This window comes from Homo sapiens, chromosome 1 (assembly GCF_000001405.40).
Source record: "Homo sapiens chromosome 1, GRCh38.p14 Primary Assembly".
Lineage (NCBI taxonomy): Eukaryota > Metazoa > Chordata > Mammalia > Primates > Hominidae > Homo > Homo sapiens.
This window is the reverse complement of record NC_000001.11, coordinates 111,316,685-111,341,742: the sequence shown is the minus strand read 5'-3', so window position 1 is coordinate 111,341,742 and position 25,058 is coordinate 111,316,685. Positions and strand designations below refer to the sequence as shown.

General features: G+C 41.3%; 2 protein-coding genes and 1 long non-coding RNA gene across 12 annotated transcripts in view, besides 3 other annotated features; 1 reads left to right on the top strand and 2 right to left on the bottom strand.

The window, feature by feature from the left end:
* The window catches only part of CIMAP3 (ciliary microtubule associated protein 3), a 28,355-nt gene extending 11,275 nt beyond the window's left edge, over positions 1-17,080 (bottom strand). For both annotated transcript variants that reach the window (XM_005270472.2, XM_017000322.2), the window contains exon 1: positions 16,860-17,080. In XM_005270472.2, coding sequence (XP_005270529.1) covers positions 16,860-17,028 — 169 coding nt within the window. In that variant the 5' untranslated portion in view covers positions 17,029-17,080. The remainder of the gene's footprint in view (positions 1-16,859) is intronic.
* Positions 5,539-6,038: an enhancer, noted in NCBI's record as "H3K4me1 hESC enhancer chr1:111878327-111878826 (GRCh37/hg19 assembly coordinates)". NCBI's record gives its function as "activates a minimal SCP1, AML or CMV promoter by ChIP-STARR-seq in naive H9 embryonic stem cells {active_cell/tissue: H9 hESC(naive)}" and the evidence as "EXISTENCE:reporter gene assay evidence [ECO:0000049][PMID:30033119]".
* Positions 6,039-6,540: an enhancer, noted in NCBI's record as "H3K4me1 hESC enhancer chr1:111877825-111878326 (GRCh37/hg19 assembly coordinates)". NCBI's record gives its function as "activates a minimal SCP1, AML or CMV promoter by ChIP-STARR-seq in naive H9 embryonic stem cells {active_cell/tissue: H9 hESC(naive)}" and the evidence as "EXISTENCE:reporter gene assay evidence [ECO:0000049][PMID:30033119]".
* Positions 9,090-9,269: an enhancer, noted in NCBI's record as "active region_1493". NCBI's record gives its function as "activates an Ori minimal core promoter by ATAC-STARR-seq in GM12878 lymphoblastoid cells {active_cell/tissue: GM12878}" and the evidence as "EXISTENCE:reporter gene assay evidence [ECO:0000049][PMID:35858748]".
* Positions 17,081-17,179: 99 nt separating the features above from the next.
* On the top strand, positions 17,180-17,992 carry LOC105378903 (uncharacterized). The gene is made up of 3 exons (XR_947703.3): positions 17,180-17,256; positions 17,374-17,492; positions 17,716-17,992. It is a non-coding gene; the product is annotated as an uncharacterized LOC105378903 (long non-coding RNA).
* A 3,187-nt stretch (positions 17,993-21,179) lies between these two features.
* Positions 21,180-25,058, bottom strand: part of CHIA (chitinase acidic) — a 29,713-nt gene continuing 25,834 nt past the window's right edge. For all 9 annotated transcript variants that reach the window (NM_201653.4, NM_001258004.2, NM_001258001.2 and 6 more), the window contains 6 exons: positions 23,938-24,062; positions 23,634-23,757; positions 23,065-23,250; positions 22,504-22,623; positions 22,275-22,416; positions 21,180-21,530 (listed from right to left, as the gene is read on the bottom strand). In NM_201653.4, the coding sequence (NP_970615.2) occupies positions 21,277-21,530; positions 22,275-22,416; positions 22,504-22,623; positions 23,065-23,250; positions 23,634-23,757; positions 23,938-24,062 (951 nt within the window). In that variant the 3' untranslated portion in view covers positions 21,180-21,276. The remainder of the gene's footprint in view (positions 21,531-22,274; positions 22,417-22,503; positions 22,624-23,064; positions 23,251-23,633; positions 23,758-23,937; positions 24,063-25,058) is intronic.

Genomic DNA, 25,058 nt, shown 5'->3' with positions numbered 1-25,058 from the left:
AATCAACAGACTCTTAGAATCACAGGCCTGACTACGCGGGATTAAACTTGAAGGAAATTTGCCATGCAACAGTATTAACTACTGATATATGAGAAGCTTCATATGTTGATACATTACCTGTAAGCCTCACAACAACCTTGAAAAGTAAAAATTGTTATCTCCCCCATTTTACAGATGAGGAAACTAAGGTTCAGGGAGACGGTGACTTGCGAAGTTCACACAGGCCACACAGAGCAAGATTTGGTGGGCCCGTATGATCCCAGGCCCACATTTGTCCACTCTTTTTTGCTACCTCTCCTTCTGGAACAAAGTTCCCTTTCTATATATCTGATATTTTCTCAATACTTTGACGCATTCAGATGATTAAAAGATTTTTTTTTTATTATTATACTTTAAGTTTTAGGGTACATGTGCACAATGTGCAGGTTAGTTACATATGTATACATGTGCCATGCTGGTGTGCTGCACCCACTAACTCGTCATCTAGCATTAGGTATATCTCCCAATGCTATCCCTCCCCCCTTCCCCCCACCCCACAACAGTCCCCAGAGTATGATGTTCCCCTTCCTGTGTCCATATGTTCTCATTGTTCAGTTCCCACCTATGAGTGAGAATATGCGGTGTTTGGTTTTTTGTTCTTGTGATAGTTTACTGAGAATGATGATTTCCAATTTCATCCATGTCCCTACAAAGGACATGAACTCATCATTTTTTATGGCTGCATAGTATTCCATGGTGTATATGTGCCACATTTTCTTAATCCAGTCTATCATTGTTGGACATTTGGGTTGGTTCCAAGTCTTTGCTATTGTGAATAATGTCGCAATAAACATACGTGTTCATGTGTCTTTATAGCAGCATGATTTATAGTCCTTTGGGTATATACCCAGTAATGGGATGGCTGGGTCAAATGGTATTTCTAGTTCTAGATCCCTGAGGGATCGCCACACTGACTTCCACAATGGTTGAACTAGTTTACAGTCCCACCAACAGTGTAAAAGTGTTCCTATTTCTCCACATCCTCTCTAGCACCTTGCTGTTTCCTGACTTTTTAATGATTGCCATTCTAACTGGTGTGAGATGGTATCTCACTGTGGTTTTGATTGCATTTCTCTGATGGCCAGTGATGGTGAGCATTTTTTCATGTGATTTTTGGCTGCATAAATGTCTTCTTTTGAGAAGTGTCTGTTCATGTCCTTCGCCCACTTTTTGATGGGGTTGTTTGTTTTTTTCTTGTAAATTTGTTTGCGTTCATTGTAGATTCTGGATATTAGCCCTTTGTCAGATGAGTAGGTTGCGAAAATTTTCTCCAATTTTGTGGGTTGCCTGTTCACTCTGATGGTAGTTTCTTTTGCTGTGCAGATGCTCTTTAGTTTAATTAGATCCCATTTGTCAATTTTGTCTTTTGTTGCCATTGCTTTTGGTGTTTTAGACATGAAGTCCTTGCCCATGCCTATGTCCTGAATGGTAATGCCTAGGTTTTCTTCTAGGGTTTTTATGGTTTTAGGTCTAACGTTTAAGTCTTTAATCCATCTTGAATTGATTTTTGTATAAGTTGTAAGGAAGGTATCCAGTTTCAGCTTTTTACATACAGCTAGCCAGTTTTCCCAGCACCATTTATTAAATAGGGAATCCTTTCCCCATTGCTTGTTTTTCTCAGGTTTGTCAAAGATCAGATAGTTGTAGATATGCGACGTTATTCCTGAGGGCTCTGTTCTGTTCCATTGATCTGTATCTCTGTTTTGGTACCAGTACCATGCTGTTTTGGTTACTGGAGCCTTGTAGTATAGTTTGAAGTCAGGTACTGTGATGCCTCCAGCTTTGTTCTTTTGGCTTAGGATTGACTTGGCGATGCGGGCTCTTTTTTGGTTCCATATGAACTTTAAAGTAGTTTTTTCCAATTCTGTAAAGAAAGTCATTGGTAGCTTGATGGGGATGGCATTGAATCTATAAATTACCTTGGGCAGTATGGCCATTTTCACGATATTGATTCTTCCTACCCATGAGCATGGAATGTTCTTCCAGTTGTTTGTATCCTCTTTAATTTCATTGAGCAGTGGTTTGTAGTTCTCCTTGAAGAGGTCCTTCACATCCCTTGTAAGGTGGATTCCTAGGTATTTTATTCTCTTTGAAGCAATTGTGAATGGGAATTCACTCATGATTTGGCTCTCTGTTTGTCTGTTATTGGTGTATAAGAATGCTTGTGATTTTTGCACATTGATTTTGTATCCTGAGACTTTGCTGAAGTTGCTTATCAGCTTAAGGAGATTTTGGGCTGAGACAATGGGGTTTTCTAGATATACAATCATGTCGTCTGCAAACAGGGACAATTTGACTTCCTCTTTTCCTAATTGAATACCCTTTATTTCCTTCTCCTGCCTAATTGCCCTGGCCAGAACTTCCAACACTATGTTGAATAGGAGTGGTGAGAGAGGGCATCCCTGTCTTGTGCCAGTTTTCAAAGGGAATGCTTCCAGTTTTTGCCCATTCAGTATGACATTGGCTGTGGGTTTGTCATAGATAGCTCTTATTATTTTGAGATACGTCCCATGAATACCTAATTTATTGAGAGTTTTTAGCATGAAGGGTTTTTGAATTTTGTCAAAGGCCTTTTCTGCATCTATTGAGATAATCATGTGGTTTTTGTCTTTGGTTCTGTTTATATGCTGGATTACATTTATTGATTTGAGTATATTGAACCAGCCTTGCATTCCAGGGATGATGCCCACTTGATCATGGTGGATAAGCTTTTTGATGTGCTGCTGGATTTGGTTTGCCAGTATTTTATTGAGGATTTTTGCATCAAATTTCATCAAGGATATTGGTCTAAAATTCTCTTTTTTGGTTGTGTCTCCGCCAGGCTTTGGTATCAGGATGATGCTGGCCTCATAAAATGAGTTAGGGAGGATTCCCTCTTTTTCTATTGATTGGAATAGTTTCAGAAGGAATGGTACCAGTTCCTCCTTGTACCTCTGGTAGAATTCGGCTGTGAATCCATCTGGTCCTGGACTCTTTTTGGTTGGTAAGCTATTGATTATTGCCACAATTTCAGCTCCTGTTATTGGTCCATTTAGAGATTCAACTTCTTCCTGGTTTAGTCTCGGGAGAGTGTATGTGTCGAGGAATTTATCGATTTCCTCTAGATTTTCTAGTTTATTTGTGTAGAGGTGTTTATAGTAATCTCTGATGGTAGTTTGTATTTCTGTGGGATCGGTGGTGATATCCCCTTTATCATTTTTTATTGTGTCTATTTGATTATGATTATTCTCTCTTTTTTTCTTTATTATTCTTGCTAGAGGTCTATCAATTTTGTTGATCCTTTCAAAAAACCAGCTCCTGGATTCATTGATTTTTTGAAGGGTTTTTTTGTGTCTCTATTTCCTTCAGTTCTGCTCTGATTTTAGTTATTTCTTGCCTTCTGCTAGCTTTTGAATGTGTTTGCTCTTGCTTTTCTAGTTCTTTTAATTGTGATGTTAGGGTGTCAATTTTGGATGTTTCCTTCTTTCTCTTGTTGGCATTTAGTGCTATAAATTTCCCTCTACACACTGCTTTGAATGTGTCCCAGAGATTCCGGTATGTTGTGTCTTTGTTCTCGTTGGTTTCAAAGAACATCTTTATTTCTGCCTTCATTTCGTTATGTACCCAGTAGTCATTCAGGAGCAGGTTGTTCAGTTTCCATGTAGTTGAGCGGCTTTGAGTGAGATTCTTAATCCTGAGTTCTAGTTTGATTGCACTGTGGTCTGAGAGATAGTTTGTTATAATTTCTGTTCTTTTACATTTGCTGAGGAGAGCTTTACTTCCAACTATGTGGTCAATTTTGGAATAGGTGTGGTGTGGTGCTGAAAAAAATGTATATTCTGTTGATTTGGTGTGGAGAGTTCTGTAGATGTCTATTAGGTCAGCTTGGTGCAGAGCTGAGTTCAATTCCTGGGTATCCTTGTTAACTTTCTGCCTCATTGATCTGTCTAATGCTGACAGTGGGGTGTTAAAGTCTCCCATTATTGTTGTGTGGGAGTCTAATTCTCTTTGTAGGTCACTCAGGACTTGCTTTATGAATCTGGGTGCTCCTGTATTGGGTGCATATGTATTTAGGATAGTTAGCTCTTCTTGTTGAATTGATCCCTTGACCATTATGTAACGGCCTTCTTTGTCTCTTGATCTTTGTTGGTTTAAAGTCTGTTTTATCAGAGACTAGGATTGCAACCCCTGCCTTTTTTTGTTTTCCATTGGCTTGGTAGATCTTCCTCCATCCTTTTATTTTGAGCCTATGTGTGTCTCTGCATGTGAGATGGGTTTCCTGAATACAGCACAGTGATGGGTCTTGACTCTTTATCCAATTTGCCAGTCTGTGTCTTTTAATTGGAGCATTTAGTCCATTTACATTTAAAGTTAATATTGTTATGTGTGAATTTGATCCTGTCATTATGATGTTAGCTGGCTATTTTGCACGTTAGTTGATGCAGTTTCTTCCTAGTCTCAATGGTCTTTACATTTTGGCATGATTTTGCAGTGGCTGGTACTGGTTGTTCCTTTCCATGTTTAGTGCTTCCTTCAAGAGCTCTTTTAGGGCAGGCCTGGTGGTGACAAAATCTCTCAGCATTTGCTTGTCTGTAAAGGATTTTATTTCTCCTTCATTTATGAAGCTTAGTTTGGCTGGATATGAAATTCTGGGTTGAAAATTCTTTTCTGTAAGAATGTTGAATATTGGCCCCCACTCTCTGCTGGCTTGTAGAGTTTCTGCTGAGAGATCTGCTGTTAGTCTGATGGGCTTCCCTTTGTGGGTAACCCGACCTTTCTCTCTGGCTGCCCTTAACATTTTTTCCGTCATTTCAACTTTGGTGAATCTGACAATTATGTGTCTTGGAGTTGCTCTTCTCTAGGAGTATCTTTGTGGTGTTCTCTGTATTTCCTGAATCTGAATGTTGGCCTGCCTTGCTAGATTGGGGAAGTTCTCCTGGATAATATCCTGCAGAGTGTTTTCCAACTTGGTTCCATTCTCCCCGTCACTTTCAGGTACACCAATCAGACGAAGATTCGGTCTTTTCACATAGTCCCATATTTCTTGGAGGCTTTGTTCATTTCTTTTTATTCTTTTTCTCTAAACGTCCCTTCTCACTTCATTTCATTCATTTCATCTTCCATTGCTGATACCCTTTCTTCTAGTTGATTGCATCGGCTCCTGAGTCTTCTGCATTCTTCATGTAGTTCTCGAGCCTTGGCTTTCAGCTCCATCAGCTCCTTTAAGCACTTCTCTGTATTGGTTATTCTAGTTATACATTCTTCTAAATTTTTTTCAAATTTTTTAACTTCTTTGCCTTTGGTTTGAATTTCCTCCTGTAGCTCGTAGTTTGATTGTCTGAAGCCTTCTTCTCTCAACTCGTCAAAGTCATTCTCCGTCCAGCTTTGTTCTATTGCTGGTGAGGAACTGCGTTCCTTTGGAGGAGGAGAGGTGCTCCGTTTTTTAGAGTTTCCAGTTTTTCTTCTCTGTTTTTTCCCCATCTTTGTGGTTTTATCTACTTATGTTCTTTGATGATGGTGATGTGCAGATGGGTTTTTGGTGTGGATGTCCTTTCTGTTTGTTAGTTTTCCTTCTAACAGACAGGACCCTCAGCTGCAGGTCTGTTGGAGTTTGCTAGAGGTCCACTCCAGACCCTGTTTGCCTAGGTATCAGCAGTGGTGTTTGCAGAACAGCGGTTTTTCATGAACCGCGAATGCTGCTGTCTGATCGTTCCTCTGGAAGTTTTGTCTCAGAGGAGTACCCGGCCGTGTAAGTGTCAGTCTGCCCCTACTGGGGGGTGCCTCCCAGTTAGGCTGCTCAGGGGTCAGGGGTCAGGGACCCACTTGAGGAGGCAGTCTGCCCATTCTCAGATCTCCAGCTGCGTGCTGGGAGAACCACTGCTCTCTTCAAAGCTGTCAGACAGGGACATTTAAGTCTGCAGAGGTTACTGCTGCCTTTTTGTTGGTCTGTGCCTTGCCCGCAGAGGTGGAGCCTACAGAGGCAGGCAGGCCTCCTTGAGCTGTGGTGGGCTCCACCCAGTTCGAGCTTCCGGACTGCTTTGTTTACCTAAGCAAGCCTGGGCAATGGCGGGTGCCCCTCCCCCAGCCTCGCTGCCCCCTTGCAGTTTGATGTCAGACTGCTGTGCTAGCAATCAGCGAGATTCCGTGGGCGTAGGACCCTCTGAGCCAGTGCTGGATATAATCTCCTGGTGCGCTGTTTTTTAAGCCCATCGGAAAAGCACAGTACTTGGGTGGGAGTGACCTGATTTTCCAGGTGCCATCTTTCACCCCTTTCTATGACTATGAAAGGGAACTCCCTGACCCCTTGCACTTCCTGAGTGAGGCAATGCCTTGCCCTGCTTCAGCTCATGCACAGTGTGCTGCACCCACTGACCTGTGCCCTCTGTCTGGCACTCCCTAGTGAGATGAACCCGGTACCTCAGATGGAAATGCAGAAATCACCCGTCTTCTGTGTCTCTCACTCTGGGAGCTGTAGACCGGAGCTGTTTCTATTCGGCCATCTTGACTCCTCTCTTGTAGGAAATTTTCTGTTTTTTATTCTTTTTCTTCTCTGTTTCTTTTTTTTTCTGTCTTTTTTTTTTTTTTTTTTTTTTTTTTGAGACAGAGACTCACTCTGTAACCCAGGCTGGAGTGCAATGACCCAATCTCAGCTCACTGCAACCTCCTCCTCCCATGTTCAAGTGATTTTCCTGCCTCAGCCTCCCAAGTAGTTGGAATTACAGGTGTGCACCACCACGCCCAGCTAATTTTTGTATTTTTGGTAGAGACAGGGTTTTGCCATGTTGGCCAGGCTGGTCTCAAACTCCTGAGCTCAAGTGATCTGCCAACCTCAGCCTTCCAATGTGCTGGGATTAACAGGCATGAGCCACCTTGCGTGACATCTGTTTATTTTCAAATAATCCATCTTTGACCTCACTGATTCTTTCCTTTCATTGATCCATTCTGCCGTTGAGAGCCTCTAATGAATCTTTCAATTCAGAAAATTATTTTCTCAATTCCATTTTAAAAATTTTTAAAAATTATCATTTAAATCTCTTTTTAAAATTTCTCTGATAAGTTTCTGAATTGCTTTTCTGTGTTATCTTAGAGATCACTGAGTTCCCTTAAAACTGCTATTTTGAATTTTTGGTCAGAGAACTCACATATCCTGTCTCAGTAGGGTCAGTTACTGGTTCCTTGCTTTGTCCATTTGGGGAGGTGATGGTTCCCTGTCTGCTTCTCTTTCTTGTGAATGTACATCTGTGTCTTGGCATTGAAGTATTATTTATTCCAGCCTTCTCTGTCTGGCTTGTTTGGTTTTTATTGGATATATTTACTAATAGATTCTTTACTGCTAGGTCACTGCCTCCTTTTGAGCTCCAGGTGGTGCCCTAAGCCCAGATTTGCCTCAGCTCTGGTAAATGATTGGAGCCCTGCCCTTCCTAAACTGTCACCACTTTTCTCTCTGAGATTTTGGCTTTTCATGTTCTTTCTTTCTTGGTATATCTTTGATATCGTTAAACATATATATTTTAGTTATTTCGTCCAGCCTTTTCTACCTGTTCTCAGCTGGAGAATTAGTCTGAAGCAAACCAGTTTACCGATGCAAGAAAGGATTACCATATTTTCAAGGTACTTTGTGAAATATGCTTTATGTCACTAATAATGTGAACATTGTTTTCAAAAAACACTGTGATTACCTACAAATATTAATATTACCTAAGCTATTAATGAAAGTAAAAATCATCAATTCTATACTAATATAGTCACATACCACATAAAGACATTTTGATCAACGATGGACTGTATATGCAATGAGAATGACAGACCAGGCCTTCCAGCTCAGAATTGCCTACTTCTGGTTATGAGGTTCTGAACATCAGCAAGAGGGCTGATTGCAGATGCCTGACATTTATTTCTGACACTCCCCAAAAGAAGACAGTACCAAGGCAATAAATAAACAGCTAAGATTTGACCAGAGTATCAGACAGAGTGCTATAGTACAGTGGGGGAGCAAAGATGCATCTGTGGTCATGGGAAGTCCAGGAGGGCAGAATGGAGACACCTTTCCTCTGCAGCCTCTCCTTCCCCACCTGAATCAAATCTGCTGGGAGTCAGGAGGGACTTCCTATTGTGGGGAAAAGGTAAGCAGAAGATTCCCACCAGTCACCACAAACACCTACAGTGCTTACAACAGGAGAATACCACAGTCCTCATGAGCCCTGAGCCCAGTTTGGAGATGTGCTGGGAAATCACATACCTGCATTGCCCCAGATTAGGAGCACAAGGATATACACCTCACCCCTCTATCAGCCAAGCTGCTGCAGCATGGAGCCATCTTGAGACCAGAGGTACTTCTGGAGTGCTTCCTCCTCTGGGGGCCAATAGCCACTGCACCTCTCCAGCACTGCGCTCCATCTTTATTCCACAAGCTTCCACTGGTGGTTGAATGTTGCAAGCCCAGCAGTGTGGAGCCCGATCTAGGATAGGCTGTGATGCTGGTCCTGCACAGCAGGGAAACCAATTCCCACTGCTTTCACCCCCAGCCAGGGGAATAGCCTGAAATTTCCATCCAGGGTGAACCTGCCTTCAAGCCAGCCAAACTTCTGTGCACCCTTCCCCAAACAGGAGAGACTCTCAAGCCTCTGAGCATCTGACATGCTCCCAGGCCAGTGGAGTGGCTATGGGCCTGCATCCAGGGCCTGAAAAACAGCCCTGAGATGCCCTACTCACTGCAGACAGGCCCTTGTCCTGTCCAGTGCCCCTGTGCCTACAATTAGAACTTGAGAAACAGCTCCACAGGTGGCACCTGGTACAAACGCCTCTGGGCTGGTGGAGCAAATATGTATCTATGCCCCAGGACTGAGAAATTCACAGGCCGCCCCTGGAGGGCAAGCCCCCAGGCCAGCTGAGCAGCTGTTTGCTCATGTTCTGGGCCTCAGAAACTATCCTGTGGGTCACCTCCTGCAGACACATCCCTAGATCAGCCAAGCAGCTATGCACCATTGTCCTAGGCCCAAGAAGCAGTCCCACAGGCCACCCTTCCAGACCAGCTGAGCAGCCCTGTGTCTGTGTCTCAGAAAAGCCCTGTGCATACCTCCAGACCAGCCAAGTAGACCTTGAACCTACATGCCAGACCTGAGAACCAGCCCCACAGATCACCTCAAGCAAAGATACTCCTAGGCCAGTTGAGCAGTCCTGTGCCTACGTCTCAGGCCTCTGAAACATCCCTGTGGTCTACTGTCTGCAGAAATGCCCCCAGGTCAGCCAAGTAGCTGTAGGTCTGTGTCCCAAGCCACAGAAATAGCTTTATAGGCCTCCCACTGCAGACTCATAACTAGACCAGCCAAGAAGCCATATGACCACAATCCAGGCCTGAGAAACAGCCTGATGGGCTACATATGACAAACATGGCCTTAGGGCAATGAAGCAGTCATAGAGCTGGGTCCCAGACAGACCTGAGAAACTGCTGTGGGTTGTCTCCAGAAGACACATCCTCAGACCAACCAAGAAGCCAAACAACTGCATAACAGCCCCACAGACTGCCCAGGCAGGCACACCTCCAAGTAACCACATGCCCATTCTACTAGCCAGAATAACAGCCATGTGGCTCCAATCCTGGTGAGCCAGACTCCAAGTTGGCCAACCCACCCTATGCACACACATGCCCCTGACCTGAAAAACAGCTTAGTGAGCCCACTCTGACAAAACTAAATAATCATTGCCACCAATTCTCTCAGCCTAAGCCACTGAGAAACTCTCAAATGCCATCATTGTGGTTTATAGCTGGTCACTACATGGAGAACACACTACTACTCCACCTAGAACAAGGCCAATGCACCCTCCCTGAACTGACATCCCAAGACCCATTCATATAAATAAGTCTTTATTTATGAAACCTACTGCATAACATTTGAAGAGATGACTTTCCTATCAGATGTGTAGAAATCAATGTAGGGACACATTAACACGACAAAGCAAGAAAACATGTCACCACCCCACACCAAAAAAAAAATTCTCCAGTAAAAGACCCCAATCACAAGGAAATATATGGAATGCCCCCCCCAAAAAAGAATTTAAAATAATAATATTAAGGAATCCTAGTGAGATACAAAGAATGCAGATAGAAAATTCAATGAAATAAGGAAAACAGTTCATGATTTGAATAAGAAATTTAACAAAGAGATATCATAAAAAAGAACCAAACAAATCCTAGAGCTGAATAATTCAATGAATGAAGTAAATATACAATTAAGAGATTCAACAACAGACTGGACTAAGTAGAAGAAACAATTTCTGAACTTAAAAGACATGTCCTTTGAAATAACACAGGCAGATTAAAAATAAAAGAAGAAAGAATTAGAAAGAATGAAGAAAGATTACAGGATTTATGGACATCATTAAGTCCATACTATGGGCATTGCAGAAGTGAAGAGAAAATGTGAGGGAAACATATTTAAATGAAATAATATCAAAAAACTTCCCAAGTCTAGGGAAAGAGACAGACATCCAGGTTCAGGAAGCTCAAAGAATGCTAAATTGATTCCACCCAAACAGGTCCTGAGGCACATTATATTCAAATTGTCAAAAGTAAAAGACAAAGAAAGAATTTTGAAAGCAGCAAGAGAAAAGTATCAAGTCACACACAAAGGAATGTCTATTCAACTATTAGATTAGTAGCAGATTTCTCAGCAGAAACCTTATAGGGCAGGAGAGAATGGGTTGATATTTTCAAAGTGCTTTGAGTTTTCAAAGTGAATAGAAAAAATTGCCAGTCAAGAATATTATTCCCAGTAAAGATATTTTTCAGAAATGGAGGAGAGGAGAAGAGGCCAGCTCATCTCCCATGGGTCCCCACAACTGCTCATCACCAGACAAGGAACCCCTGGCTTGGGCCCACAGCACAGACCCTCCATCCTGGGCTGATTGCACTGAGTGATTGCTGAACTGCATCTCTTTGGGGTGGAGCCCCCAGGAGACAAGCAAGTAACCCTTGGCCACAACCACTACTAAGATCTCTTCCTCTGCTGCCTCCATGGTGAGGAAGAAACATAAGCACTGAGATCACCCCAGAGCTGCAGTGGGCAACTCAGGAGTGCCAAGTCACAATCTATGGCCAGCACTGAAGTGGGAGAAGAACTCTGCAATTTCAGAGCATTGAAAAAGAAAATGCTGCAACTGTGCAGAAACATAGGAAGCTGCATAACCAAGCAAGAGTCTACTGACTGACCAATAAGCCTAAGTGCCACTTGCTGGATCACACCCCAAAGCTTCAACACCAAAAATACCTCACTAACGAGCCTCCCTCTGAAACCAGAGGCAAGAAGTCAGCTTCAAATAAAGGCCCCACACAAAGCCTCAGCCTGGTGAACACATCCAGAAAAGAAGTGTAGTGATTGTACTCAATCTACACTGCAGTTAAATGCACACCCACAGTCAGAGATGAGAAAGAACCAATGCAAGAACTCTAGTAACTCAGAAGGCCAGAGTGTGGTATATCCTCCAAATGACCATACCAGCTCTCCAACAAGAGTTTTTAACCAGGCTGAACTGGCTGGAATAACAGAAATAGAATTCAGAATATGGATAGGAACAAAGATTATCAAGATTCAGGAGGATAGCAAAACCCAATCCAGGAAAAATAAAAATCACAATAAAGCAATACAGGAGCTGAAGTACAAAATATCTGGTATAAAAAAGAACCTAATGGATCTGACAGATCCACAATACAAGAATTTCACAATGCAATCACAAATATTGACACCAGAATAAACCAAGCTGAGGAAAGAATCTCAGAATTTGAATACTGGTTCTCTGAAATAAGACAGTCAGACAAAAATAAAGAAAAAAATGAAAAGGAATGAACAAAACTTCTGAGAAATATGGGATTATGACTGGGTGTGGTGGCTCACACCTGTAATCTCAGCACTTTGGGAGGCTGAGGCGGGCTGATTACCTGAGGTCAGGAGTTCAAGACCAGCCTGGCCTATGTGGTGAAACCCTGTCTCTACTAAAAATACAAAATTAGCCAGGCATGGTGGTGCATGCCTGTAGTCCCAGCTACTCAGGAGGCTGAGGCAGGAGAATCACTTGAACCTGGGAGGTGGAGGTTGCAGTGAACCGAGATTGTGCCACTGCATTCCAGGCTGGGCAACAAGAGCAAAACTCCATCTCAAAAAAAAAAATTATATATATATATATATATATATATATATATATATATATATATGGGTTTATGTGAAGAGGACGAATTTATGAATCATTGGCATCCCTGAAAGGGAGGGGAAGAAAGCAAACAACTTGGAAAACATGTATCAGTATATCATCCATGAAAACTTCCCCAACCATGCTAGAGAGGCCAACAGTCAAATTCAGGAAATACAGAGAACTCCTGCAAGATTCTACACAAGAAGATCATCCCCAAGACACAATCATCAGATTTTCCAAGGTCCAGATGAAAGAAAGAATGTTAAAAGCAGCTAGAGAGAAAGGTCAGGTCACCTACAAAGGGTACTCCATGAGGCTAACAGGTGACCTCTCCGCTGAAACCCTGCAAGCCAGAAGAGATTGGAGGCCTATATTCAACACTTCTAAAGAAAAACAATATTCAACCAAGAATTTCATATCCAGCCAAATTAAGCTTCCTAAGTGAAGGAGAAATAAGATCCTTTTTAGATAAGTAAATGTTGAGAGAATTCATTACCAGGTCTGCCTTACAAGAGATCCTGAGAGGAGCACTAAATATAGAAAAGAAAGACCACTACTAGCTAACACAAAAACACACTTAAGCACACAGACCAGTGTAATTGTAAAGCAACTAAACAAACAAGGCAACATAATAACCAGCTAACAGCACAATGATAGGATCAAATCCACACATATTAATATGAACCTTGAATGTAACTGGGCTGAATGCCCCACTTAAAAGGCACAGAGAGGCAAGCTGGATAAAAAAGCAAGACCTAATGGTGTGCTGTCTTCAAGAGACTTATCTCACAAGTAATGACACTCATAGGCTGAAAATAGAGGGATGTAGGAAAATCCATCAAGTAAATGGAAAACAGAAAAAAGGAGGAGTTGCCTCTTAATTTCCAACAAAACAGATTTCAAACTCACAAAGATAAAAAAAGACAAAGAAGGGCATTACATAATGATAAAGGGTTCAATTCAATAAGAAGGCCTAACTTTCCTAAATATATATGCACCCAATACAGAAGCACACAGATTCATAAAGCAAGTTCTTAGCAACCTGCAAAAAGACATAGACTCCCACACAATAATATTGACAGACTTCAACAGTCCACTGACAGTATTAGACAGATCACTGAGGAAGAAAATTAACAAAGATATTCAGGACCTAAACTCAACATTGGACCCAATGGATCTGATAGACCTTTACAGAACTCTCTATCTAAAAACAACAGAATATACATTCTTTTCATTGCCACCTGGCACATACTCTAAAATCGACCACATAATTGGACATAAAATAATCCTCAACAAATGTAAAAGAACCAAAATCATACCAAACACACTCTTAAACCACAGCACAATAAAAATAGAAGTCAAGACTATGAAAATCGCTCAAAACTATACAATTACATGGAAATTAAACAATATGCTTCTGAATGACTTTTGGGTAAATCATGAAATTAAGGCAGAAATCAAGAAGTTCTTTGAAAATAATGAGAACAAAGATAACAACATACCAGAATCTCTGGGACCCAGCTAAAGTAGCGTTAAAAGGAAAATTCATAGCATTAAATGTCCACATCAGAACATTAGAAAGATCTCAAATTAACCTAACTTCACAACTAAAAGAATTAGAGAAGCAAGAACAAATCAACCCCAAAGCTTGCAGAAGATGAGAAATAACAAAAATCAGAGCTTAACTGAAGGAAATTAAGACAAAAAAAAATTCAAAAAATCAGTGAATCCAGGAGTTGGCTTTTGGAAAAAATAATAAAATAGGCCACTAGCTAGACTAATAGAGAAGAAAAGAGGGAGGATCCAAATGAATACAATTAGAAATGATAAGGGAATGTTACAACCGATCCCACAGAAATAAAAATAACCATCAGAAACTACTAAGAACACCTCTACACATAAAAACTAGACAACTTAGAAGAGATGGATAAATTCCTGGACACATACACCCTCCCAAGACTGAGCCAGGAAGAAATTAATTCCCTGAATAGGCCAATGACAAGCTCTGAAACTGAATCAGTAATACATAGCCTACAAATAAAAAAAAAGCCTGGGACCTGATAGATTCACAGCAGAATTCTACCAGAAGTACAAAGAAGAGCTGGGACCATTTTCCTACAGAAATGATTCCAAAAAATTGAGGAGGAGGGACTCCTCCCCAACCCATTCTATGAGGCCAACATCATCTTGGTACCAAAACCTGGCACAGACACAACAAGGAGAGATGGATATTCAAATGCAAAAGAATGAAACTGGACCTCTATCTCTCATCATATAAAAAAATCAACATAAGATTTATTAAGGATTTAAATGTAAGACTTGAAACTATAAAACTACTAGAAGAAAACATAGGGAAAACACTTCAGGACATTGGTCTAGGCAAAGACTTTATGGCTAAGACATCAAAAGCACAGATAATTAAAAAAATAGACAAATCGACTATATTAAACTAAAAAGCTTCTGTGCAGCAAATGAGGCAATCAATAGAGTGAAGAGATAACCTGTTGAATGGGAGAAAATATTTGCGAAGTATTCATAGACAGGGACTAATATCCACAATATACAAGGAAGTAAAACAACTCAAAAATAAAAAACAAATAAAATCTCACTAAAAATTGGACAAAAGGCATGAATAGGCAATTTTCAAAAGAAGACAAAGAAATGGCTAACGTGGATATGAAAAGAACTCAACATTACTAATCATCAGAAAAGTGCAAATTAAAACCACAATGAGATACCATCTTACCCCAATTAGAATGGCTATTATTAAAAAGACTAAAAGTAACAGATGGTGGTGAAGATGTGGAGAAAAGGGAACTCTTATATATTGTTGGCAGAAATGGAAATTATTATAACTACTATGGAAAACAGTATGGAAATTGCAAAAATCTAAAAATAGAACTACCATATGATCTAGCAGTATATCAAAGGGATACCTGCATTTGTGTGTTTATTGCAGCAGTATTCACAATTGTAAAGATATAAAACAAACAGATGAATGGATAGAGAAAATGTAGTATATATACCCAATGAAATACTATTTGGTTATAAAAAAAGAGTGAAATCACGTCACTTGTAGCAACATGGATAGAACCCGAGGTCATTATGTTAAGTGAAATAACCCAGACACAGAAAGACAATGTCACTTATATGTAGGAGCTAAAAAAGTCGATCTCATAAAGGTAGAGAATAGAGAGTAGAATGGTAGATACTAGAGGCTGGAAAGAGTGAGTGGGTGGTGGGGGATGAAGAGAGATAGGTTAACGGGTACAAACATACACTTAGATACAAGGTGTAAGTTCTGTCATTCAACAGCAGAGTGACTATGGTTATTGATAGCAAATTGTATATTTCAAAGTAACTGGAAGAGAGGACTTGAATTGTTCCTAATATATAGAAGTGACAAATACTCAAAGTACTGGACACCTCAAATACCCTGACTTGGTCATTACACATTCTATGCAAGTAACAATATCACATGTACCCCATAAATAGGTAAAATATAATGCATCAGTAAAAAAACAGCATGTTTACACTCTCTTCCTCTTTTCATTTCAATGGCTTGTAATTTGTCTAGGTATTATTCCTATTTCAACTAAAGCTATTTACCTTTTTCTGCTATCAGAAATTGGTAAATCTGGAGTGTTATTAGTTCTCCTAATACTGGTTTTTGTTCTGGTGTCCACTTATAACTCTATTCTTTTATTTTCCTAAACTGCTTGTATGAAAGGACTTCTGATCTCTTAATTCTGGACTAATTCATTATACAACATATGGTGCAAGAATCTGACTACTTCTTTGTCTCTAAAGTAGTTACATCTAAACATTTATGTACTGAAATCCATATTATTTTGTTAGAAATTATTTTTTCTCCTTTACTTTATAGTTAGGGCATTATACCAAGTTGTTTGTGAAATTATATGTAGTAGGTTATGTTATCCATGAATTAATTCTAATTTTAGGATAATAAATAGAGTGTTATAAAATAATCTACCACTCAAAGCAGGATTGAGAATCCCTGTCCAAGAGAATAGAGATCTCTATTCTGGAGAAGAGAGAAAGAGAGGAGGAAAATATAATTTCTACATACTATCTTCCAGACTTTCTTAAAACCTACATCTACCATCTGATGGTAGAGGAATGAATAAAGGCTTTGAAATTTCTCAGCACTGGCTTTCAATAAGTATTAGTCTGTCATTGACTAACTATGTGACCTTGTGGAAGTTACTTAAACTTCCTAAGCCTTGGTTTATCTATAAAATGGCATGAATCATTTCTTTCCTCCTAAGGATGCCATAAGAATTTCAGAGCTAACACAAGGACAAATCGTATACAGTGAGGGACTAACCTATATTTGGTATTTAACAAATATTAAGGCACTTCCACTTTACCACCTCCATGCCCAGGGCTGCAGCTGGCTCCAATGGTATCTTTGTGCAAATGAAGAAACAGTGCAGGTTTATTAAGATGGGAGCTGGCCCTTGCTGAAACAAATAATTTGGTGAGTGGAACACTCTCTCTGCCTCCATCCAGAATCAGAGAACTTGTGTAATCAGAGACCTTGTGAATATTCTACTTCTTTCCAGTTAGACTCCAATGCTAAAAGGATGAGTTTTCATACATCTACTAGAGTCCAAGAACATGATTACCATTACCAAAGTTCCAGATGTATGGCTGTCTGATCCATGATATGGTTTTGTTGCCTCTCAAGCTCCCAGGTAGAGAAGATAGCATGGACCTTCTGGATTCCTCAGTCGTTCTGGGCAAGAACAGGTCCTCAGGGGAACTTCCAGTAAGCCTGGATCTCTCATGTATTATTTCCATGAGTTGCCACTCTCACATGGGGACTTTAACCAAGAAAATGAAGGGTGTAACTAAGACTGGCTGCTAAGCAACAGCCCCACTCTGGAAGTCCCTCTTCAAGTCATTGTGACATTGATTTGTGCAAGGCAGCATTGTGGTTTAAAGAGAGCCAGAGAGGCCTAATTTTTGAGAATGAGGTCCACTAATTACCAGCTCTGTGATCCTTGGCAAGTTGCTTATCCTCACAAGGTCTTGATTTCCTCACCCTGAAACCTGGGGACAATACTCACTAAGTAGGAGATAACCTATATAAAGTACATTGCCTGATGCTTGAAATATTCAGCTTGTTTTTCTTTTCCCGTACAGCTAAATGTTTAATAAATCAGTACAGAAGGCATCAGGAGACACCAAATATGGTCAGGACACCGCACAGCAATGATTGGGATGCAAGTCATCTACAGGCTCACCACCATTTGTCCTTCCTGGTAGAGAATGGACAAGAGACTTTTATAAATTTATGTCCTGTTTTTTAGACTATAGTGGGAAGGCAGAGAATTTCTCTTGCATGTGACTCTTTTCAGTTGCCTTCAAATCAAAATAATACTTATTTTGAGGTGGCATATTCTGGTCTCTTACATTGTATTCAAACGGGTTGCTGCTACTTCTCTATTGTTATTAATCTTTTTATCATCTTCTTATTCCTCTTAGCACAGTCGGGGCATAACATGTTATCTTCTATGCCTGGGGATGGGAAATTGCAGGCAGGTAACAAGAAGAGAGAATTCATCCTCCTGTGAGTGGTAGGCACCCAGGACTGACCTGCATGAAACTGCAGGCCTACCCAACCCTTTGTGTCTGCTGAGAGAAGTCTGCCATGGACCACACACCACCTGACGTGAGGGGTCAGCTTGTTAATTCCTATCTCACTTCCTTTACCACATTCATTTATTAATTCACCAAGTATTTATTCTCTTATAATATGCCAGGCCTTGTTCTAGGCAGTGAGAATGTTGCAGTGAACAGAAATGCCTTTCCTCATGGAGGTTAATACTAGTGAGGGAGGTAGACGATAAAAAAGGTAAATACGTTAAATGAATGGTAGGTCAGGTAGTGACAAGTGTCAAGAAAGGGCAAAAGAAGCACAGCAGGCAGAGGCAGAGAAAGGGGGTTTCAAAATCAGGTTGAGTGGCCAGGAAAGACCTCACTGAGAAGGTGACTTCCAGGAAAAGCCTGAAGAAAGTGAGGGAAAGAGTCAAATGGAAATCTATGGAAAGTGTGTTCTAGCTTGTATGAAGGCCCTGAGGCAACACATGCCTGGAATACTTGAGAAACAGCAAGAAGATGACATAGTTGGAATGGAGTGAGTGAGAATTGTTGGAGGTGAGGTCAGAGTGGTCAGGGGAGCTAGCTCATGCTCACCGTCTTTTTGCACATAGTAGGTGCACAGTAAACATGCATTTGAATGACCAATTAATATGTAAAAATAGGAAGAAAAATGGAGGGGACACTACTTGTTTTGGCTGCAATAATTTCCCTGTTCTAGAAATGGTGGCAGAATTCATCTTTGTGGGAAAATAGTGGCATTGAAAAAGGTGCTAGTTTTGAAAACCACTTTGATTTAGCCACTGGACACTAAGTTGTTCAAAGATGCTCTTCCTCAAAGCCAACAGCTGATGTCATGTCATTTTTTCATTAACTCCAGAGCCCCACATCCCCATGTCCCCCCTCAGTGCTATTTACTTTAGTAGTGACCTAAATAGGAAACTCCTTTCAAAAGCCACCCCCAAAATTTCTATGCTCTATTTTACTCCAGATTTCATCATTCTTTGACTAGAAATATAACGACATTACTAGTGATACCCACTTTTACTGTCTCTTGCCTTCCTCTGCTCATTGAAGACACAAGTCCCCCACTTCTGTCTTCAATCTTCAAGGCATGTCACAAAGGTGCTCAGTCAATCCATTGGCTACCATCGCCATGAGTGCCATTTTCCTATATTCTTTAATCCTATTCCAGCCTCATCTCATCAATGTTGAATTTAGATCCTGTCATCAACCCCATCCCTATTATCACTTTCCAATGGCTTCACAGCCCACTTACAATAAAATACAAACTTCTAACCATGTTTCAAGCCCTTGAATGATCTGACCCCTGCCTATTTCTTCCCTGTGCCCACCATCTCATGGCCATACTGGGCTTCTTGTATCTAACACTCCATGTTCATTTCCACCTCAAGGACTTTGTACTTAGTCCCTCTGCCCAAAACACACTTTTCCCAGATCCCAAAACAGACAACTCTTTTTGACTGTCAAGGCCATCTTGTATAGGACCTCCTCAGAGAAGCCTTCTGGGATTGCTCCAAATAAAGTAGTCTCCTCTTTTGGTCACTTTCTATCACTGTTTTATTTTTCTCATTTGTTCATTTGCTTATTTATCATCTAACACTTCCACTAGCAAAATATAATCCCCATGAGAGTAGAGTATGTCTTATTTACCACTATGTCTTCAGTACCTAGAATATCACCTGACACATAATAATCAATAAATGGTGTGAGTTTATGAATGAATGATGTTGCCCAGAGAGTGGTGTGCACCTCATCACTGCCACCAGTGTTGTCATCTCCCATGAGAACAATGTGGTGTGTGTCAAGGGAGGCAAGTAAAACATAGTAGATAAGACTGTGAGCTCTGGGGCCAGTCCACCTGGCTATGTATCTGGCTCTGCAACTACCTAGCTGTGTGATTTGGGGCAGGTTAATTAATTCATCTCTACTTCAGTTTCCTGGAGTTAACGTTATCCACCTCATAAAGTTGCTAGGAAAACTAAATAGGAAAATACATGTAAAACACTTAGAACAGTTTGACACATAGTAAGAATGCCAGAAAAAAAGAAATGAGCCCTTATATTCTCATTACATTATTTAGGTTTCTTTCATTTGCATGTAAAAGAAGCAAACTTTAGTCAGCTTAAGCAGCAAAGAGGAATTTATTATGTAATTATAGGGATATTTCACAAAATCCATAGGCAAAAGTGCATCTGGGCCTCAGGAAGGAACTATAATCAAGAGCTAGAAAGCTATTTATCTGGCCAGGCGTGGTGTCTCATGCCTATAACCCCAGCACTTTGGGAGGCCAAGGTGGGTGGATCACTTGAGGTCAGGAGTTTGAGACCAGCCTGACCAACATGGTGAAACCTCGTCTCTACTAAAAATACAAAAATTAGCTGGACATGGTGGCACGTGCCTGTAATCCCAGATACTTGGAAGGCTGAGGCAGGAGAATCACTTGAACCCGGGAGGCCGAGGTTGCAGTGAGCCGAGATCATGCCACTGCACTGCAGCCTGCTGATAGAGCGAGACTTCATCTCAATAAAAAAAAAAAAAAAAGAAGAAGAAGAAGAAGAAGAAGAAAGCCGTCTATCAGTAAATGTTCTCTCTCATCTCACATCCTGGCTTTTGTCTGTAGCTCAGCTCTGCATGTAGGACAACTTTTCCTTCCCCCTAGTCCCTCGCTACAGCTCCTGAGCTTACATATTGCAGACCCACCCACACGAGTGATGACAGGCAATTCCTTGTTCCGAGCTGCAAATTCTGAGGTGTGATAATCTTATTGGCCCTCTTGAGCCTGATGTCTATCCCAGTCTATCAGCCAAGCCATGGGAGGGGGTATGCATACAAGCACAGCAGCTGGTGGCCACCACTACGATTCCAATGGTAGGTGTCATCTCCTGAGAAAGGGAGCCTGGCTGGCCCATGGGCTAGGCAGAAACCCTAAATGGAGTCTACTGCACAAATCTTCCCGAAGCTGCCAGTCCACTTCAGTAGAAGTGGAGAGGATGTCCCAGTCTTCCACTCCTTGAGCAAGCCAGGCAGCACTGCTTATGTCCCCCAGTCTTACAGAAGCACTTCAGCTCCTTCCTGAGGAAAATTGCCTGGTGACAGACCTATCCTCTTCATATCCTCATCCCTCCCATGCACCAAACATTCAGACATTTCCTCCTTACAGCTTCCAACCTTCATGCAGATGAACACAGGCAGATAGAAGACTGTGGCGCTGTTAGCTCCACCACTTCCTCTCACACTCTACTCCACCACTCCACCCCCATGCATAGCCCCTATTTTCATATCTGGAAGAGGTTTCCACCCAAATCACTTAAAAGCAAGGACAGTCATGTTTTGACTGCTGATTTTATTGCAGGACTTTAGGTAGGGGCAACATGTCCTAAGCAAAAGAGACTGGAACTCTAGGGAATATAGACCAGGTCAGGTTTATGCCCAGTTGCAGCAATCACAGCTGGTGTCGAAGACAAGCCCGGCCTGGCAGTTCTGCTGGTACGTGACTCCATTCACGCAGTGCCAGAAGGCATTTCTGTTATTTGCCACGGGGTAGAGGCCGTTGGCTCTGACAGCACAGAATCCACTGCCTCCCGAGCTGCCTCCAGAGCTGCTACTCCCGCTCCCGTTCCCGCTGCCACTGGGAGCAGCAGTTATTGGCTCAATGGGCTGAGCTGGAGCCGTGCAACCTGAAACATACAGCAGTAAGAGCAGACTAGTGGGCTTGGGAGAGGCTCTAAGCTTCACCTAGAGGTGAAGAGAACTGTGGGAGTGGAAGTGTGGAGGTGGGGTGCAGTTGGCTCTGGATCCCTGCAACTGAGAAGAGAAAGTAGCTCCATATTCAGGAGATAAATAAAGCTATTGTGTCAAGCCAGCCTGGCTTTTAATTGTAAAAAAAGGTTGCTCTTTCCTTATAACATCTAAATCATTCAAAAAAAAATTTACTAACCACCAAATGTATGCAAAACACTTTTCTAGAATCTGGGCATAAATGGTGAACAAATAAATTCTAGGAAAAATCTGGAAAAAATTTAGAGAATTGATACATCCCCTGAATCACTGATTAGAGATATGTGAGCATTGGTGAGGGTTTCTTAAATCTCCCCAGGTGGGCTGAGAAAGATTTTGAATAAGGGATTCATAGAGAAGCAGATACTTATATTGATGTTAGTATAATTTCTTGAGGCTCTTCCACACCCTTAAGACTTAGCAGACTTAGAACACCCACCCAGTTAGGCCTGGCTTCCCATAAGTGCACAATGTTCCTGACATGGCCGTTCAAGGGTAAAACCTGTCTCTCATCTGGGCAAGAGCGGTGAGGTGAAGTGGAAAGAGGATCCCTGGGCAAGGGGGAGGTGGGAAGACATCAGGGTTGCTTTTTGAGTTGGAGAAGGGGTATTTATACACCTGGGCATTCCCCCTCAGTCACTTACTTGCACTCTGCAGGCCGAGGGCCTTCTTCAGGGTGGAGATTAGGGGAAACTTGCCCTGGTTGCAGAAAGTGCCAGTGAAGTCATCCAGATCAATGGCCCAGACCATGGCGCCTCCAAATTTGTTGTGCTTAAGCCATTGAGCCTGTTTAAAGAAAGAGGATAACAGGAATCACTTGCTTTCCTGGGACTCAGGGCTGGGACCTCAGCACATTTAAGGGACTGATCTTACCTTAATATCGAAGCTCTTGATGTTGTCATAGCCAACCCACACATTGCCCTGATAGGCATAAGGCACTTCCTGAGGGGCATCCCATCCCTGAGTGGCTCCATTTTTCAGGAAGGTACAGATCTTTCAAAAGTCAAGAGATTCAAATCTATTAAATGTTACTCCCATTAAAGAAAAACATGTTTCAAATTTTTCTTCTTTCATGTCTCCAGTTGGGGTTTTGCTCAATTTCTAGTTACAGGTTTTTATTTGTAGTAAAGAGGATCAAGTTGCTTGTCAAATGATTTTGGGAACCCACAGTAATATGAGAGGTATATTTATTTTATTACCTGTGTGCTAATATAAATTACATTTAAAAGGTAGTCTGTTGTGTGAAGGGATATTATGCATTGTTAAATGCTATTCATTTGGATTATGTAAATGAATGCTATTTAAACACTTTAAGCAGCTGTGTTTAAAGCATTTAGGTAGGAGACAGAATGAACATTCAAGATTTCAGCAGATTCTAGCCCTAAGGCACAGTGCACGGAATTCACAGAGCACTTTTCAGTCCAATCTACATACCTCGTAGTAAGCCCAGATCCCAGACTCCTTGGCATAGGGCCCAGCAGGACCAGCACCAGAGGTGGGGGCACCAATTCCAGTGTTGGAGGGGTTGCTCAGGATGAAGTTGTGTCCATAGGTAGGGAATCCAACGATGAGCTTCTCAGCTGGTGCTCCATTGTCCTTCCAGTAGTTCATGACATAATCCTGCAATGTCAGTGGGTTAGTTACATGGCCCAACCAGCTGAGGACCCAGTACTTAGTTATATTAGTCCCCTATTCCGACAGGTAAAACTCTATGCTGTTAATTCCAGATGGATTAGTATTTTTTTCAAAACATTTTGGTGAAGTTGTAGTTAATGAAATACGATCAACTTGAGGACAGTTGTTTAAGTGAGACACTTGCAGAATTTATGTTTACTTTGTGTCCCAGTCTCTGTGTGAAATTAAATGAGAATATTTAATTAATTATGGCAGCCTAATTTCCCATTTGAGAAAACCACTAAACTTATGATGCCTTTTGTGCCTGAATCTCTATGTGATTTTCATCATCATCTCTGGTCTGCTCTTGCATCTGTACAGGGACTCACCACATTGAGGTAGGCGTTGCTGCCGGTGTCAGTCGGGTATTTGTAGAGGGGGCTGTTCTCTCCAGTGTAGCCCTCCCAGGAGCCATGGAGGTCGTAGGTCATGACATGGATGTAGTCCAGGTACCTGAGGTGGGGTGGAGGATTTAAAATCATTCTGATGGTCATTTCCCACACCTATGCAGGCACAGGACACCACTTCTAAAGTCTCCTAAACAAGGTCCCTGAATAGCAAGCCAGACCAAGGACAAGTCTAGTGTGCCCGAGTGACACCTCCAGGAGTTTGAAGATAAGGCACATCACTCACTGTGACAGTTGGGGGATCTCATAGCCAGACTGGATATTGGAGATGCCAGCAGCTACTGCAGCAGTGACCATCAGCCTGGGCTTGTTGATCTGCTTGGCCTCCTGCTCAAAAGCTTCACGCATTTCCTACAGAATAATAAGGCATAATAGGACATCTATGATGCTGATTTTAGCTCCTTAAATAATACTAATAAACATATGTCTGTATAATGCTTCTCTCTCTTAAATTGCTTTCACATATTTTATTTTACTTTAGTCTCTCAACAACCAAATAAAGTAGATCGGATAGATAATATTATTGAATTTTCTGGCTATCTAATATGCATAAGAGTTAGGACACTTCACCAAAGTCCCACACTGAGTTAGTAGGTAGGTCATGACCAAAACCCAGGTCCCAGATGACCATCAGGGCTCCATTGTATCTCTATACTTTGAAGCTCTAGTTGCAGTGATACCCTACATCCAGCAGTATAGAAATTTGTTTCATAAAGTAGATGAACTACTTTATAGGACTGACATCCCATCAAATAAAATGGTGTATTGGCCAATAAGGAAGGTGGTAACAGCTAGATGATAGGTTCCCATTCAATACTAGAGATTAATCCACCTGTATCTGTGCGACTGTAATCTCATTTGGAGTACTGGGTTTAGTTCTTATAATTGCACTATTAGGGTGCGCCAGAGTATGTTCCAGTGAAGGCTGGCTCTGAAAATTGTCATGCGGTTATTGATTGAAGGCATTAAGATATTTAACTGGAATAAGAGAAATTATAGGCAAGGTATTTACAGCTGTCTTAAGACATTAAGCCCATATATTGCAAAAGATGCAGTCTTATTCTCTGTTGCTTCAGCAGGAAGAACTAGAAACAATGACCAGAAGTTATAAATTATGACTAGAGGCATGTTCCAGCCAAGAAAGAGATATTCCTTTATGATCATTAGGGCAATTCAACAAGTAAGTAAATTGACTTTTCACCTATTACTTAACATTGAAACTATTCAGAGGCTGGGTGACGATCTGTTACATAGAATGGAATAGCAAACAATCTGTCTTGGGAGACAGTAAGTCTAAAAACCAAGTATATCAAGCTTTTTTGTCCTGAACTCCAGATTGATATTTAT